At 56.1% G+C, this 12512-nt stretch overlaps 1 protein-coding gene and 1 long non-coding RNA gene across 2 annotated transcripts in view, besides 9 other annotated features; one reads left to right on the forward strand and one right to left on the reverse strand.

Moving 5' to 3' along the window:
* The window catches only part of LOC105371082 (uncharacterized), a 146190-nt gene continuing 133678 nt past the window's right edge, over positions 1 to 12512 (forward strand). Inside the window, exon 1 of the long non-coding RNA XR_933070.4 lies at positions 1 to 178. This is a non-coding gene — a long non-coding RNA (uncharacterized LOC105371082). The remainder of the gene's footprint in view (positions 179 to 12512) is intronic.
* Positions 582 to 789: a silencer, noted in NCBI's record as "fragment chr16:11344039-11344246 (GRCh37/hg19 assembly coordinates)". NCBI's record gives its function as "represses an EF-1alpha promoter that drives an FKBP-Casp9 reporter gene in an ReSE screen in HepG2 liver carcinoma cells {active_cell/tissue: HepG2}" and the evidence as "EXISTENCE:reporter gene assay evidence [ECO:0000049][PMID:32094911]".
* Positions 2004 to 2083: an enhancer, noted in NCBI's record as "active region_10426". NCBI's record gives its function as "activates an Ori minimal core promoter by ATAC-STARR-seq in GM12878 lymphoblastoid cells {active_cell/tissue: GM12878}" and the evidence as "EXISTENCE:reporter gene assay evidence [ECO:0000049][PMID:35858748]".
* Positions 4470 to 4639: an enhancer, noted in NCBI's record as "active region_10427". NCBI's record gives its function as "activates an Ori minimal core promoter by ATAC-STARR-seq in GM12878 lymphoblastoid cells {active_cell/tissue: GM12878}" and the evidence as "EXISTENCE:reporter gene assay evidence [ECO:0000049][PMID:35858748]".
* Positions 4817 to 6604, reverse strand: SOCS1 (suppressor of cytokine signaling 1). The gene is made up of 2 exons (NM_003745.2): positions 6479 to 6604; positions 4817 to 5928 (listed from the first exon to the last, which is right to left on the reverse strand). Exon 2 carries the CDS (start codon positions 5876 to 5878, stop codon positions 5243 to 5245), a length of 636 nt encoding a protein of 211 aa, NP_003736.1. The 5' UTR covers positions 5879 to 5928; positions 6479 to 6604; the 3' UTR covers positions 4817 to 5242.
* Positions 5250 to 5339: a silencer, noted in NCBI's record as "silent region_7197". NCBI's record gives its function as "represses an Ori minimal core promoter by ATAC-STARR-seq in GM12878 lymphoblastoid cells {active_cell/tissue: GM12878}" and the evidence as "EXISTENCE:reporter gene assay evidence [ECO:0000049][PMID:35858748]".
* Positions 5750 to 5899: a silencer, noted in NCBI's record as "silent region_7198". NCBI's record gives its function as "represses an Ori minimal core promoter by ATAC-STARR-seq in GM12878 lymphoblastoid cells {active_cell/tissue: GM12878}" and the evidence as "EXISTENCE:reporter gene assay evidence [ECO:0000049][PMID:35858748]".
* Positions 5910 to 5959: a silencer, noted in NCBI's record as "silent region_7199". NCBI's record gives its function as "represses an Ori minimal core promoter by ATAC-STARR-seq in GM12878 lymphoblastoid cells {active_cell/tissue: GM12878}" and the evidence as "EXISTENCE:reporter gene assay evidence [ECO:0000049][PMID:35858748]".
* Positions 6060 to 6799: a silencer, noted in NCBI's record as "silent region_7200". NCBI's record gives its function as "represses an Ori minimal core promoter by ATAC-STARR-seq in GM12878 lymphoblastoid cells {active_cell/tissue: GM12878}" and the evidence as "EXISTENCE:reporter gene assay evidence [ECO:0000049][PMID:35858748]".
* Positions 7050 to 7249: a silencer, noted in NCBI's record as "silent region_7201". NCBI's record gives its function as "represses an Ori minimal core promoter by ATAC-STARR-seq in GM12878 lymphoblastoid cells {active_cell/tissue: GM12878}" and the evidence as "EXISTENCE:reporter gene assay evidence [ECO:0000049][PMID:35858748]".
* Positions 9151 to 9380: an enhancer, noted in NCBI's record as "active region_10428". NCBI's record gives its function as "activates an Ori minimal core promoter by ATAC-STARR-seq in GM12878 lymphoblastoid cells {active_cell/tissue: GM12878}" and the evidence as "EXISTENCE:reporter gene assay evidence [ECO:0000049][PMID:35858748]".

Below are 12512 nucleotides of genomic sequence, written 5' to 3' on the forward strand. Positions count from 1 at the left end.
ACTGGCGCGGCGCGTGGTGGCCTCTCGAGAGTGCAGGCGCCGTGGGGCGTCAGCTGGACAAAAGCCGACCCGACTTCATTTGTCTGCCTCGACCCCGACCCCGGCTGGTAGACAGCACTCCTGATGCACGGGACGAGGGAGCGGCACGAGCAAAGGCCCTGAAACAGGAGGGAGCGCGGTGAGTGCCTTGCCCAGATCCCTGGGCCGTCGTGGGACTTGGGCCTTCTGTGCGCTGCGGGGAGCCGTGCAGGGCTGCGGCGTGGGATGCTGGACTCGCCCTGGGTGTCGGGGGAAGGAGATGGGGGAGGTTGTACTGGGGCCATACAGTCATTGTAGAACCTGTTCCCCCCGAGGGCCGTCTGTCGGGTCCCAGAGCCAGGACCACGGTTGGGACAATTTGAGCGCCCACCTGAGCACCGTTGTCCCTGTGCGAATGTGCTTTGGTGAAAACTGTGCCTCCTTCTCTAGAGGAAATTAGATACCCCCTACCCGCAAATCAGGCCAAGCCCACCATGTTATTCCTGGTAAGCTCCTAGCCCTGGGGAGGCTCCGAGTGATGGCAGTGGGAGGCCAGGTGAGAGGTACAAAGCTGGCATCCAGGTGGAACTGGCCACACCCACCATGGCCCAGCATCCACCAGGCAGGTCCTGTGGCCTTCCCTTGCCGTTGGTCTGATTGGCTGGAGCCAAAGGGCCTGGCCGAGAATGAACCGCTCCCTTGTAAATATACACCATGAGGCAGGAAGCCGAAGCCCATTTCACCAGGCCCTCTGCTTAGATCATCTCCATCCAGCAGCCAGGCCAGATCAGGTTACCTCCACGTTCCCCATCAATCTTGAAATCCACACTTTCCACCAAGGTCTACAGGACCCCACGTGCCCGGGCCCCTGCCCATCCCTCCCGCTTCTTCACCCCTCCCACTCTGCCAGCCTTCTTGAACGGGCCGAACTCCTTCCTGACTGAGCGCCTTTGCACTCGCTCTTCCCTCTGCCTGGACTGCTCATCTCATCTCCTGGCTTTGCCGGGCTGGTGCCTTTCTGTCATTCCAGGCACAATAATTTCAGTGTCACCTCCTGACCTTTCTAAAAGAGCCCCATCCACTGTCCAACCACCCTGTCGAGTTTTCATCTGACCACTGTCACTATGTACTTGGAATGTTCCTTTTCCTTTATTTCATGTTTGGTTATTTACTGTCCAAGGCCCTGAATGTAAACTCTGTAAGCAGGGTTCAGACCCCTCTATTTTGTTCATTCCTGTATCCTTTCGGCTTAGATTAATGCCTGGCTGGGCGCAGTGGCTCACACCTATAGTCCCAGCATCTTGGGAGGCTGAGGTGAGAGGATCACTTGAGCCCAGGAGTTGGAGACTGGCCTAGACAACATAGGGAGACCCCATCTTGGCAAAAATAAATTAGCCAGACATGGTGGTGCATGCCTGTAGTCCCAGCTACTCAGGAGGCTCAGGTGGGAGGATCGCTTGAGTCCAGCAGGTCAAGGCTACAGGAGCTGTGATCACACCACTCCACTCCAGCCTGGGTAACAGAGTGAGACCCTATCTCTTAAAAAAAAAAAAAAAAAAGAAAGAAAGAAAAAGAAAAAGAGGAGGAAAAGGATAATGCCTGTAACGTAGGAGGTGCTCAGTCAGTGTTTGCTATATTAACCTCAACTATCATTATTGGCACCGCATCATTCAGAGATGTATTTAGCGCCTACTGCATGCTAAGTTGTGCGCTAAGCACTTTCTACCTATTATGTCATAGAAGAGGCTCAGTTCGCCGCTTCCTGGGATAATGACAGTACCTACTCATAAGGTTGGGAGGATCAAGTAGGCTGAGGCCTAGGAATATGCATTTTCACCAGATTCCTCCCTTATCCCATCCCCTCTCCCACTATTTAAGCAACCCATCCTGCGCTGGGCACAGTGATTCCTGCCTGTAATCCCAACACTCTGGGAGGCTGAGGTGGGAGGATCGCTTGAACCCAGGAGTTTGAGACCAGCCTGGGCAACATAGCGAGGCCCCCTCTCTACCAAAAACAAGAAAATTAGATGGGTGTGGTGGCTCACACCTGTAGTCCCAGCTACTCAGTCCCTGCGCTGAGGCGGGAGGATTGCTTGAACCCAGGAGTTTGATTCTGCAGTGACCTGTGATCTCGCCACTGCATTCCAGCCTAGGTGACAGAGCAAGACTCTGTCTTAAAAAAAAAAAGAAGAAGAAACCTGTCTTGTTGTTTAGAGTGGGATGGATTTGGTCCAAGTCCTGGCCATCACTTACGAGCTGTGTGACCTTGAGTAGGTGGCTGCACTTGTCTGAGCCTCCATTTCCTCATCTGGAAAACGGGGGCCAGAGTTTTCAGCTCAAGGGTGGCTTGGAGGCTGGTCACAGGCTGTCCCCACACCCACACACAGTCCTTGTCATTCCAAAGAGTGCCTCCTTTCCCATGGTGCCCGCCCCACACTGCCCTGGCTCACCCGCTCAGTGGGGAGGACACCTCCACTGCACCTGGGCCCCCAACTCAGTCTCTTGCACACACAAACCCTCCTCTCACTTTTCATTCTTGTAAATTGACGTCAGCGCTGCTGAATCATGAAGCTGAGGTTTGAGAGAGAGACAGAATCTGCACCACCCGGGAAGCCACATGGCGCTGGTGCGCGCGCACACACACAAACACACACACACACACACACACACACACAGCCTTTTCCCCCTTCAGTGATGCCTGCACACACTTTGTCACACGGGACGTGGGGTGCAGCTCCCAGGGCTTTAGGTCACTGTACCTATGTTAGTATGGATTTAAGTGACTCATAAAGGGAGGAAGGGGCCAGCTCTGGGAAGTGTGATCAGAGGGGGCCTTTACTCTTAGCTGTTCTGCTTCAAGTTCTGCAAGGGGAATGGGTTTGGATACCCAACACTTGCGTAAGGAAAATACGATTTTCATACTTTTTTCAAAGGAGGAAAAAAAACTGTAACATATTGCAAGCTACCTGCTAGCTGACCCCTCTTTTGAGGAGGACCTGTTTTCCCATCTGTAAAACGGGGATGTTCACAGTCCCTACATCGGAAGGCTGGGTGTGAGTTCAATGTTTTACACAGGTGATGCGGGACCTGGGAGCAGTTCCTGCACAGACAATGCTACATAGAAATATGAGCAGCTGCTATTATTACTGCAGCGGTTAGGTCCTCCGGTTGCCTAGTGGTACCCAGCCTCTGAAAAAGTCCTGAGTGGGTTTGCAAAACCTGGCTCCACCCCTTGTTGTGGTCCTGCTTTGCCTCTTGGAGCCCGTTTTCCCATCTGTAAAATGGGGCCAGCACAGCCACTGAGTGGTCACTAAGGGTCTGTGAGTATACTAGTATTACAACCAGATCCCCAAGCATTGCCATCTTGGATTTCTGTTTCTCCAGACACTGCCCACAGCAGGCAACAGACAGGAAAGAACAAGGACAGGACTTAATTAATCCACAGCAGAGAAGAAAGGGCAGGGGTGTGGCAAAAAAAAAAAAAGAAAAGAAAAGAAAAGAAAAGAAAAGAAAAAGCAAGATTTTTGGAGATAGAGACAAGACATCACCTCCTTCCCTCCCACTTCACCTTATTAAGGGATGAAATTGCCAAAGCTCTCTGAGATCCTAAATCTCTTCTGGCCATCCTTAAAGTCCTGGAGCCTACTTAATCCCCAAGACAGGCCTGGGCTGCTCTGACTCTCTGACCATCAAGTTAATTTTATGTTGTACTTTCAAGTCTGAAAAGTATTATTAAGCATTAGAACACTATTATATGTGTCTCCAAGGCTGAAGAGGGCCACTCTATCTTCTAAAGATGAAGTATGACGTGTCCACCAGGCTGCTTAACCCTAAATCTGAAAATGACTCAGTTCACCATGTGTTGAGTACAACCCTCAAGTTACCACCATGGCCCATGTGTCAGGCTGGCCAAAGACACAGAAGTTGCCAGAAACCCAGGTCCTGGACACTTTCTGGTGCTGTGGGCCAGCCCCACAAACGTCCTGGAGCCACTCTTCCCTTCCCTGGCTCCTGAAAACATCCACCTCCTCTATGATGCGCAGAAAGTTGCCCTTAGAAAGGTGGAGGCCCAGGGAGGCAAGGGGAATTGCCCTAGCCGCCAGCAGCACCCTCCCGCCACCACAGACCACACAGTCTCCTTCTGGCTCCAAGTTGTGTGTTCACCAAAAAGTACACAAGACAGAGCAGGGTGAGAAGAAGGAAGCTAGACCCAGCCCTGTATCCCCCATCTCATCTCAACTGAGTATCCCTTGATGCTGGTTCAGAATGTGCCACTCCTCTGTCCAAAAACTCACTAAGCCCCCACCCCCACCCCTTCCTGGAAGCTGTTGTGGTCATAGAACCAAAGAAGTTTCCTCTCTGTTATCCATTTCAAGCAGATGTTTAGTGGACAGCCAAAAAAAGGCCCAAGTGTTGTCTTTGACAGGAATGGCCACAGGCAGATTTACTCAGTTTTCCCTTCTGTAGAATGGAAATAAGAGCCCGTGCCTCACAGGGTTGTGCCTCTCTTTATAGGATTAAGTAAATTTAAGTATGCAAAGCACAGAATTAGGGCTGGCACGCACAAAGTGCTCAAACGCGAGCTGCTGTCTTACCGGACACACGCCAAAACTAGACCAACCGTTTCTCTCCCTGGAGAGTTGTGGGTGGAACCGTGAGGGATGCCCAGCCACAGGGCAGGCCCCGTACACCACCTGCAGCCCAGCAGGTCAGCCTTAGGACCCTCTCCCCTGGACCTGTTCAGAACCAAGTTAAACTTTTGGCCAAAGCACACTCGCTAGAAAACTTATTTTTTTTTAAAAAAAAAACTTTCATAATAAAGTTTATTACCTAAACTGACTTTAAAAAATATAAAATAGGATTCTGCACAGCAGAAAAATAAAGCCAGAGACCCTCCCCCAACCCCTGGTTTGTGCAAAGATACTGGGTATATGTAAACATGAAGAGGTAGGAGGTGCGAGTTCAGGTCCTGGCTCCAGATACAGTTAAGCTGCTACAACAACCAGGGGGACCCAGAGGGAGCACCAGGAGGGGGAGGACCCCCTCAAGAGGTGAGAAGGGGTCTGCGGCCTCGTCTCCAGCCGAGGGCGGGAGGCGCCTCGCCCCTACACCCATCCGCTCCCTCCAACCCAGGCCGGGGAGGGTACCCACATGGTTCCAGGCAAGTAATAACAAAATAACACGGCATCCCAGTTAATGCTGCGTGCACGGCGGGCGCTGCCGGTCAAATCTGGAAGGGGAAGGAGCTCAGGTAGTCGCGGAGGACGGGGTTGAGGGGGATGCGAGCCAGGTTCTCGCGGCCCACGGTGGCCACGATGCGCTGGCGGCACAGCTCCTGCAGCGGCCGCACGCGGCGCTGGCGCAGCGGGGCCCCCAGCATGCGGCGCGGCGCCGCCACGTAGTGCTCCAGCAGCTCGAAGAGGCAGTCGAAGCTCTCGCGGCTGCCATCCAGGTGAAAGCGGCCGGCCTGAAAGTGCACGCGGATGCTCGTGGGTCCCGAGGCCATCTTCACGCTAAGGGCGAAAAAGCAGTTCCGCTGGCGGCTGTCGCGCACCAGGAAGGTGCCCACGGGCTCGGCGCGCAGCCGCTCGTGCGCCCCGTGCACGCTCAGGGGCCCCCAGTAGAATCCGCAGGCGTCCAGGAGCGCGCTGGCGCGCGTGATGCGCCGGTAATCGGCGTGCGAACGGAATGTGCGGAAGTGCGTGTCGCCGGGGGCCGGGGCCGGGACCGCGGGGCACGGCCGCGGGCGCGCGGGGGCCGCGGGCGAGGAGGAGGAAGAGGAGGAAGGTTCTGGCCGCCGTCGGGGCTCTGCTGCTGTGGAGACTGCATTGTCGGCTGCCACCTGGTTGTGTGCTACCATCCTACAGAAGGGGCCAGCCGGAGGGGTGGGCCATAGCGTCCGGGGGTGCGCTGCGGGAGAGACAAAGAGGTGAGCTGGGGCGCTGCGGGGCCGGGCAGGTGTGCGCCGGCCGGACAACTCCGGAGGGCGGCGCTCCCGGCGGACCCGGCCCTAGGGGGCGAGCACGGAGCACCAAGTCCGCGCGGATCCGTTCAGCCTCAGTGGACACAGCTAGAAAATGGGCTCTGTACTCCGCGGAGCTCTTCCCGGCGGGTGGGGGCTCGGTGGAGGCGGAGTCCGGCCTCCGGGCAGCACCGAGAGGGGGGCGTGGAGAGCAGCCGGTTCTGGCTCCAGCCGTCCGGCCCCGGCTCGCCGCCCCGCGCCCGCCGCCTGCTGGCCAGGCTGGGATCCGCGCCTGGTCTGGGCGATTTGGGCTAGGGCCGGAGAAAGGCTGTGCTGCGGGAGCCCCGCGCGCGGGGGGCGGCCTGGGTGGGGCCGGCGAGGGTCAGGGGCATCGCGGCCGCGACCCCATTCTGCAGCCCCCGAGGCTCGCCCGACTCCTGGCTGCCCTGGACTCCCCTCCCTCCTCCCTCCCGCCTCCTCGCCCAGGGCCCGGCTCACCTGGCGGCGGGGCGCGGGACGCCGCGGGCGGGACGGCGGGGGGCTCCGGGGCGCTCCGGGGCGGCTCTCGCGCATGCTCCGGGGCCAGGAGCCGTGCAGCTGCCACGGCCGCAGCTCGCTCTGTTCGGCGCCCGCCCCTGCGCCAGTCTTTTAAACCGGCTCGGAGGCGGGGCTGGCGACGGCGGGAGGCCCCGCCCCCTGCCGGCCCCGCCCCCAGCTCCACTTTTGGTTTCTCTTTCCGCGGTGGCGTCCGGCGAGGACCGCTTCGGCCCTGTTTCCCTCTCTTCTGGACCCTCCCGCGGGGCCCTCTGCCCGCCTGTTCGCACCTGCCCCAGCACCCGCCTCTCGAGGGGCTCTGGCCCCGACCCTGCGCCTTCCGGCCACTTCTCGGACCCCTCCTTCGGACTTGGCGACCCCGATTTTGCCCCGCTACCTCGGGTTCCACTTTCTGCCGCCAGGCCCTCTTGGGACGCGCCCTGACACACCCTCCTCCGCCCCAGCTGTCTCCACACCCGCCGGGGGCAGAGCCCTGTCCTCTCCTCCCCTGCAGCCAGATCCCCCTAGGAGGCCACAGAAGGTGTCCCCAACCCTGAGCCTGACCCCACCCGTAGACCCCCTCCTAGCCCCTGCTCCACCCGCCGTCGACGCCCTCAGTCGCCCGCCCTGCTGTCCCGAAGCCCCGGCCGGCCGCGGTCTCTGGTCTTGGCTCGGGCTTCCCGGGAAGCGGCGGCCTGACCACAGGCTTCAGAGGAACCCCTGGCGGCGCGGGCGCCTCCACCCCGGCCCAGTTCCTCGGAAACTGGGCGGGGCCGGGCAAGGTCCCTGGTGGCCTCGACTGCCCTCCCTGCGCTCCCACTACCCGGCTGCGGAAGAAACTGAGGCTGGGGAGGGGCTGGGATTTGCAATGGCTTGCAGATTGGGAGCTCTGGACCTGGATCTCGCCTTCCCCGTCTTCATTTTGGGGAGAGGTGCAGCTGGACGACATCAAATTGGAGCCCAGTGAAAAAATGGTGCATTCTCAGACGTGATGAATCCCCAAACCTGGTTTCCTAGCCCTCCTCTCCCCCGACCCCTTCCTCATAGATTTCCCCCTCCTACTGCTCCGTCAGGCATCTGCCCTTCAAAGACTGCCTTCCCACCACACACACGGCCGGGGCTTGGGATGGTGGGCGGTCGGTGGTCGGGGCTGTAATTTGCACACGTGTTTGTGATTTAGTGATTCCGATTGTCGTGCGAGGCCATGGAGTAGGTGCCTGGCTGCTCCGTGTATTTTTGAATGAAGGCATGTGAGGAGCCCCAGCATCACAAGGGGCCACATAAAAACCTGGCTAGGCTGGGCACTTGGTTACTGGCCTCACACTGGGACACACTGCCCTCTACAGACAGCTCTCAGACGGCTTCTCTCCTGGAAGCCCTGGTGCCCAGTCCCTTCCCGCCTCCCTGGCCCCACGATACCTCTTTCCCCAGGCAGAGCCTAGGTCCTTATTAACCTCCTGAACACAGGGAGTGGCCCAGAATCAGCCCAGCTTAGCACCCCATCAGTGCCCTGAATCTGCATGTGGCCAGGGCTGGTGGTGGTCATTGGTGTAGCCTCCTAGGTTGTGCGTGTGTGTGCGTGCGCGTGCGTGAGGGGGTGAGAGAAGATGCAGAACCTTGCCTGCACCAGAGGTCAGGTGTGTGATCATTCGAGAGATGTCCACTGAACATCTGCTGGAGGCCACACTCTGTGGAGGGTGATGGAATACAAGGAGACCCAGTTCCAAATCTGCACCTTTCTATTCTTGTGACCTTGAGCATGTAATTAACCTCTCTGCCATGGTTTCTTTATCTGTGAAATGGGGATAATAATAGTACCTCTAGCAGGGCGCAGTAGCTCATGCCTATAATCCCAGCACTTGGAAGGCCAAGACAGGAGGATTGCTTGAGCCCAGGAGTTTGAGAACAGCCTGGGCAACAAAGTGAGACCCCCTCTCTACAAAAAAAAAAAAAAAAAAAAAAAAATAGTACAAAAATCAGCCAGTCGTAGTGGATTGCACCTGCAGTCCCAGCTACTTGGGAGGCTGAAGCAGGAGGATTGCCTGAGCCCAGGAGGTCAAGGCTGCAGTGAGCCACGATTGTGTCACTGCACTCCAGCCGGGGCAACAGACTAAGACCCTGTCTCAAAAAAAAATAAATAAATAGTACCTCCATCCCGGGGTTGTATGGGAATTAAATGAGTGATTATGGGTCAGGTGCTTAAAACAGCCCGTAGTGTCTAATAAGCAGTCGGTAGATGTTTGTTGTTCATCTGAGGGTGCCTGTGGGTGTGGCAGTGTGTTGGAGCCCACAGACGCATGGCTTCAACCCCTGTGTCCATTTTTTTAAAGAGATGGAGTGTAGCTCTGTTGCTCAGGCTGGAGTGTAGTGATAGGATCGAGGAGGCACTATAGCCTCGACCTCCTGGGCTCAAGAGATTCTCCCATCTCAGCCTCCTGAGTAGCTGAGACTACAGGCACATGCCACCACACCCGGCTAATTTTTTAAATTTTTTGTAGGGATGGGGTCTCACTACGTTGCCCAGGCTGGTCTCGAACTCCTGTCCTTTAGTGACCCTCCTGCCCTGGCTTCCCAAAGCACTGCCTTATATCTATGTTTGAAGCCCTAGTCCAGGGACCACAGGCCAGGGAAGGCACAGCAAGGGAGCAGGAAAGCTTCTAAAGGTACACTCAGCACACGTGGGTTCTCCTCACTGCCACCAGTGACAGACAGCTTTGGTTTCATTTTCTGAAGTCCTGTGTTCAAAATGAAACCAAATCCAGATGCCGAAAGAGAAAAGGAAATCTGCTGGTTGACAAGCATCCACCTTGTGGGCTGTTCTGCTGGAGGGCTGGGCACCAGGCTCACAGGAAGCCAGGCAGTGCGAAACCCTGAGGGGCTCAGAGTGCTCGGTAGGATGGGACCAGGCTCTGACCCCAGACCTGCTGCATGACCTTGGGCAAGTGACCTGTCCTCTTGGGACCTGATTTGCCCCAACTGCAAAGTGATCTCTGGACATCTCGTACCTCACAGAGCAGCCAGACATGCAGAGCCAAGGGCAAAATGCCAGGCATGGAGTCGGTGCTTGGCACAATGACCTCTTGTCACAGGGCGGATGGACCAGCCCTATATCCACAGCTTACTAAACCACAGCCACAGCCAGATGTGTGGAAACATTCTCCTCCCTATCTTGGCAGATCCTCGTACCCCAAATGTGAGGGGCCCAGCCAGCATCTGGGGGAAGTCAAGATCCTGGTGGCTTATGGCACTTAGCTTTTCAGTTTCTCTTTCCGGCTTTGGTGGCGCCTTGCTGGGAAAAGTAGCTCCTGGCCAGGGTGTGTAATCGTGAAACTAGCCTCTGCCCCGGAATTCCTCAGCCCTGCTTTTCCTCTAACCCATGTGTCGGGAAGGTTCCCATGGGAGTCTGTGCCCCTGGGAACCCCGAGCAGTGGGGCTCACAGTGTGGATTCTGCTGACCGCTGGTCTGAATTTAAATGGGTCATTTCATAAGTATGTGGCCTGGGGCCAGCTTCTTAGCTTTTCTGTGCCTCAGTTTCCATATTTGCAAGATGGGATAATAACATATCTATTTCACTTCTTCAGTATTTATTCAGCAGATATTTACTGAGTTCTTACTGTGTGCCAGGCGCAGGGGACTCAGAGGTCTTCAGGCAGACCTAGGGGAGTCAGTGAATTCACACCATCAGTGCAGACCATACTGGGTGCTATGTGGGAAAGAAACAGAGAGAAAGGGGTGACTGGGTGTTTGTAAGGTGAGATAAGGAAGTTAGGGAAAGCCTCTTGGAGGTGGTGACATTAGCACTGACGTCTTTCTAAAAGTGGGATGAAGACCCCAGGTGGCGAGAACAGCCAGTGCAAAGGCCCTGTGGTGGGGGTGCTTGAAGATAGGAAAGGAGAGTTGGTATAGCGAGCCAGGGGGTGGTGTAGGGGTGAGGCATAGGGGTTGGCAGGGTCTGATCCATCAGGCACGGCCTTGCTGGGCTGTGGCAGGGCTTTGGATTTTGCCCTGAGTGCATGGACCAGCCATCCAGGCCCAAGCGACAGCATAGGACTGAGTGTGGAAAGAACCTTCTAGCTGCTGACCTTCCCAGCTGCTGGGCTTTAGCCACGATGAGCTGTAGTAGTGGCCTTGGGACACTTTCCCATGGTCCTGTGAATTGGAAATTATGTGTTTCCCTTGATCAGATGAGGAGAGCACAACTCAGGGAACTGGTGGAACTTGGTGAAGGTGTTTTGGGGAGCCCTGGGGCTTGGCAGAACCTGGCCTGAAGTCCTCTGTCGGGAGAGGTTGCTTTGATGTTTGGAGTAGATCCTTTCTGCTCCCACCACAGGAACGATTGTGTGTCTCAGTGGCGGGTAGAGGGGTGTGAGCTCAGAGGACCTGAGTCCAAGGAGAAGGTGTGAGAGGCCAGGGAACGATGGCATGAGCCAGTGGCTGACTCCAAAGTGGCGCCAGTCCTGGAGACTTGATGAGACTCTTCTAGCAGGCACAGGTGAAGAAAGGAGAGGTGAAGTCAGCTGTTACTTGAAGTAGTCAGTAGTCACTGGCTTTCAGAAAGCAGTCAAGATTGTTTCGTTAACAGCTGCAAAATAGGAGGGGCAGGAAAGTAGAATTCTAGGAATGCTGGTGGAGGGGTCCAGACACACCTGCTTCCAGTCCCAGCTCCCCTCCCCATCAGCTGTGTGGCTTCAGGCAAGTTGACTGAATCCAGTGGTCCAGAGAACTCTCACAAAGCCCGAGCCTGGGAAGCACAGTGCCTGTTCCTCAGTAAATCCCTTGGGATCTTTGTCGTGGCCTATTCACTCCATTTTTGCACAGTATTCCAACAAGCCTAACAGGTTTCTACCCACCCCACCCCATCCCATAAGTGACAAATTAGGTGTCAGCAGCTGACAGCAAGGACCAGTAGCGGTGACATAGGGGGCAAAGAACTTGCAGAAACTATGAAACTAGGCACAAGAGCTAGCACGCAGCAGGCTGGGGACGTTAGAGTGTGGAGCAGGAAGATTCCTCATGTCCATGGGCCCTCACTGTGGTGATGCTGTTGAGAATGTCGGGTATCGCAATGAGAGGTAGAATAGGGCCCAGTTCTCTCTGAGGAGGCGTCTGGTCTCAGGGCACACAGAGCAGCAGCAGTCTCCTCCCATGCCACGATGTGGGAAGCCCAGCGTCTACTGGCCCAATTGGCAGTGCCCTGAACAGGCTCAGGGAGGGGTAACCCTCAACCGAGTTGTAAAGAGTGAGCATCACGGCCGGGCGCAGTGGCTCACGCCTGTAATCCCAGCACTTTGGGAGGCGGAGGCAGGCAGATCACGAGGTCAGGAGATGGAGACCATCCTGGCTAACACGGTGAAACGCCGTCTCTACTAAAAATACAAAAAATTAGCCGGGCGTGGTGGTGGGCGCCTGTAGTCCCAGCTACTTGGGAGGCTGAGGCCGGAGAATGGCGTGAACCCAGGAGGCGGAGCTTGCAGTGAGCAGAGATGGCGCCACTGCACTGCAGCCTGGGCGACAGAGCAAGACTCCATCTCAAAAAAAAAAAGAGTGAGCATCACTTGAGTTCAGGAGTTCAAGACCAGCCTGGGCAGCATGACAAAACCCCATCTCTACAAAAATATGAAAAAATTAGTTGGGCATGGTGACACATACCTGTGGTCCCTGCTACTTGGGAGCCTCAGGTGGGAGGATCACTTGAGCTCGGAAGACAGAGATGGCAGTGAGCTGAGATCACACCACTGCACTCCAGCCCGGGTGACTTAGGGAGACCCTGTCTCAAAAAAAAAAAAAAAAAAAAAAAAAAAAAAAAGAGCTCTCACCAAGGGAACGGAGGGAGAACATATTCCGGGCAGAGCATGACAAGAATGTGAGGCCCTGGGCAGAGCATGAGGCCAAAGGTAAGCCGGACACCCCAAGGCAGCCCTAGTGGCTTCTAGGAGGAGACTCGTCTGGAGGAAGGGAGAGGGCTGGACTGGACCTCTGCCTGCCCTGGAGTAATGA

Source organism: Homo sapiens, chromosome 16 (genome assembly GCF_000001405.40).
Source record: "Homo sapiens chromosome 16, GRCh38.p14 Primary Assembly".
NCBI lineage: Eukaryota > Metazoa > Chordata > Mammalia > Primates > Hominidae > Homo > Homo sapiens.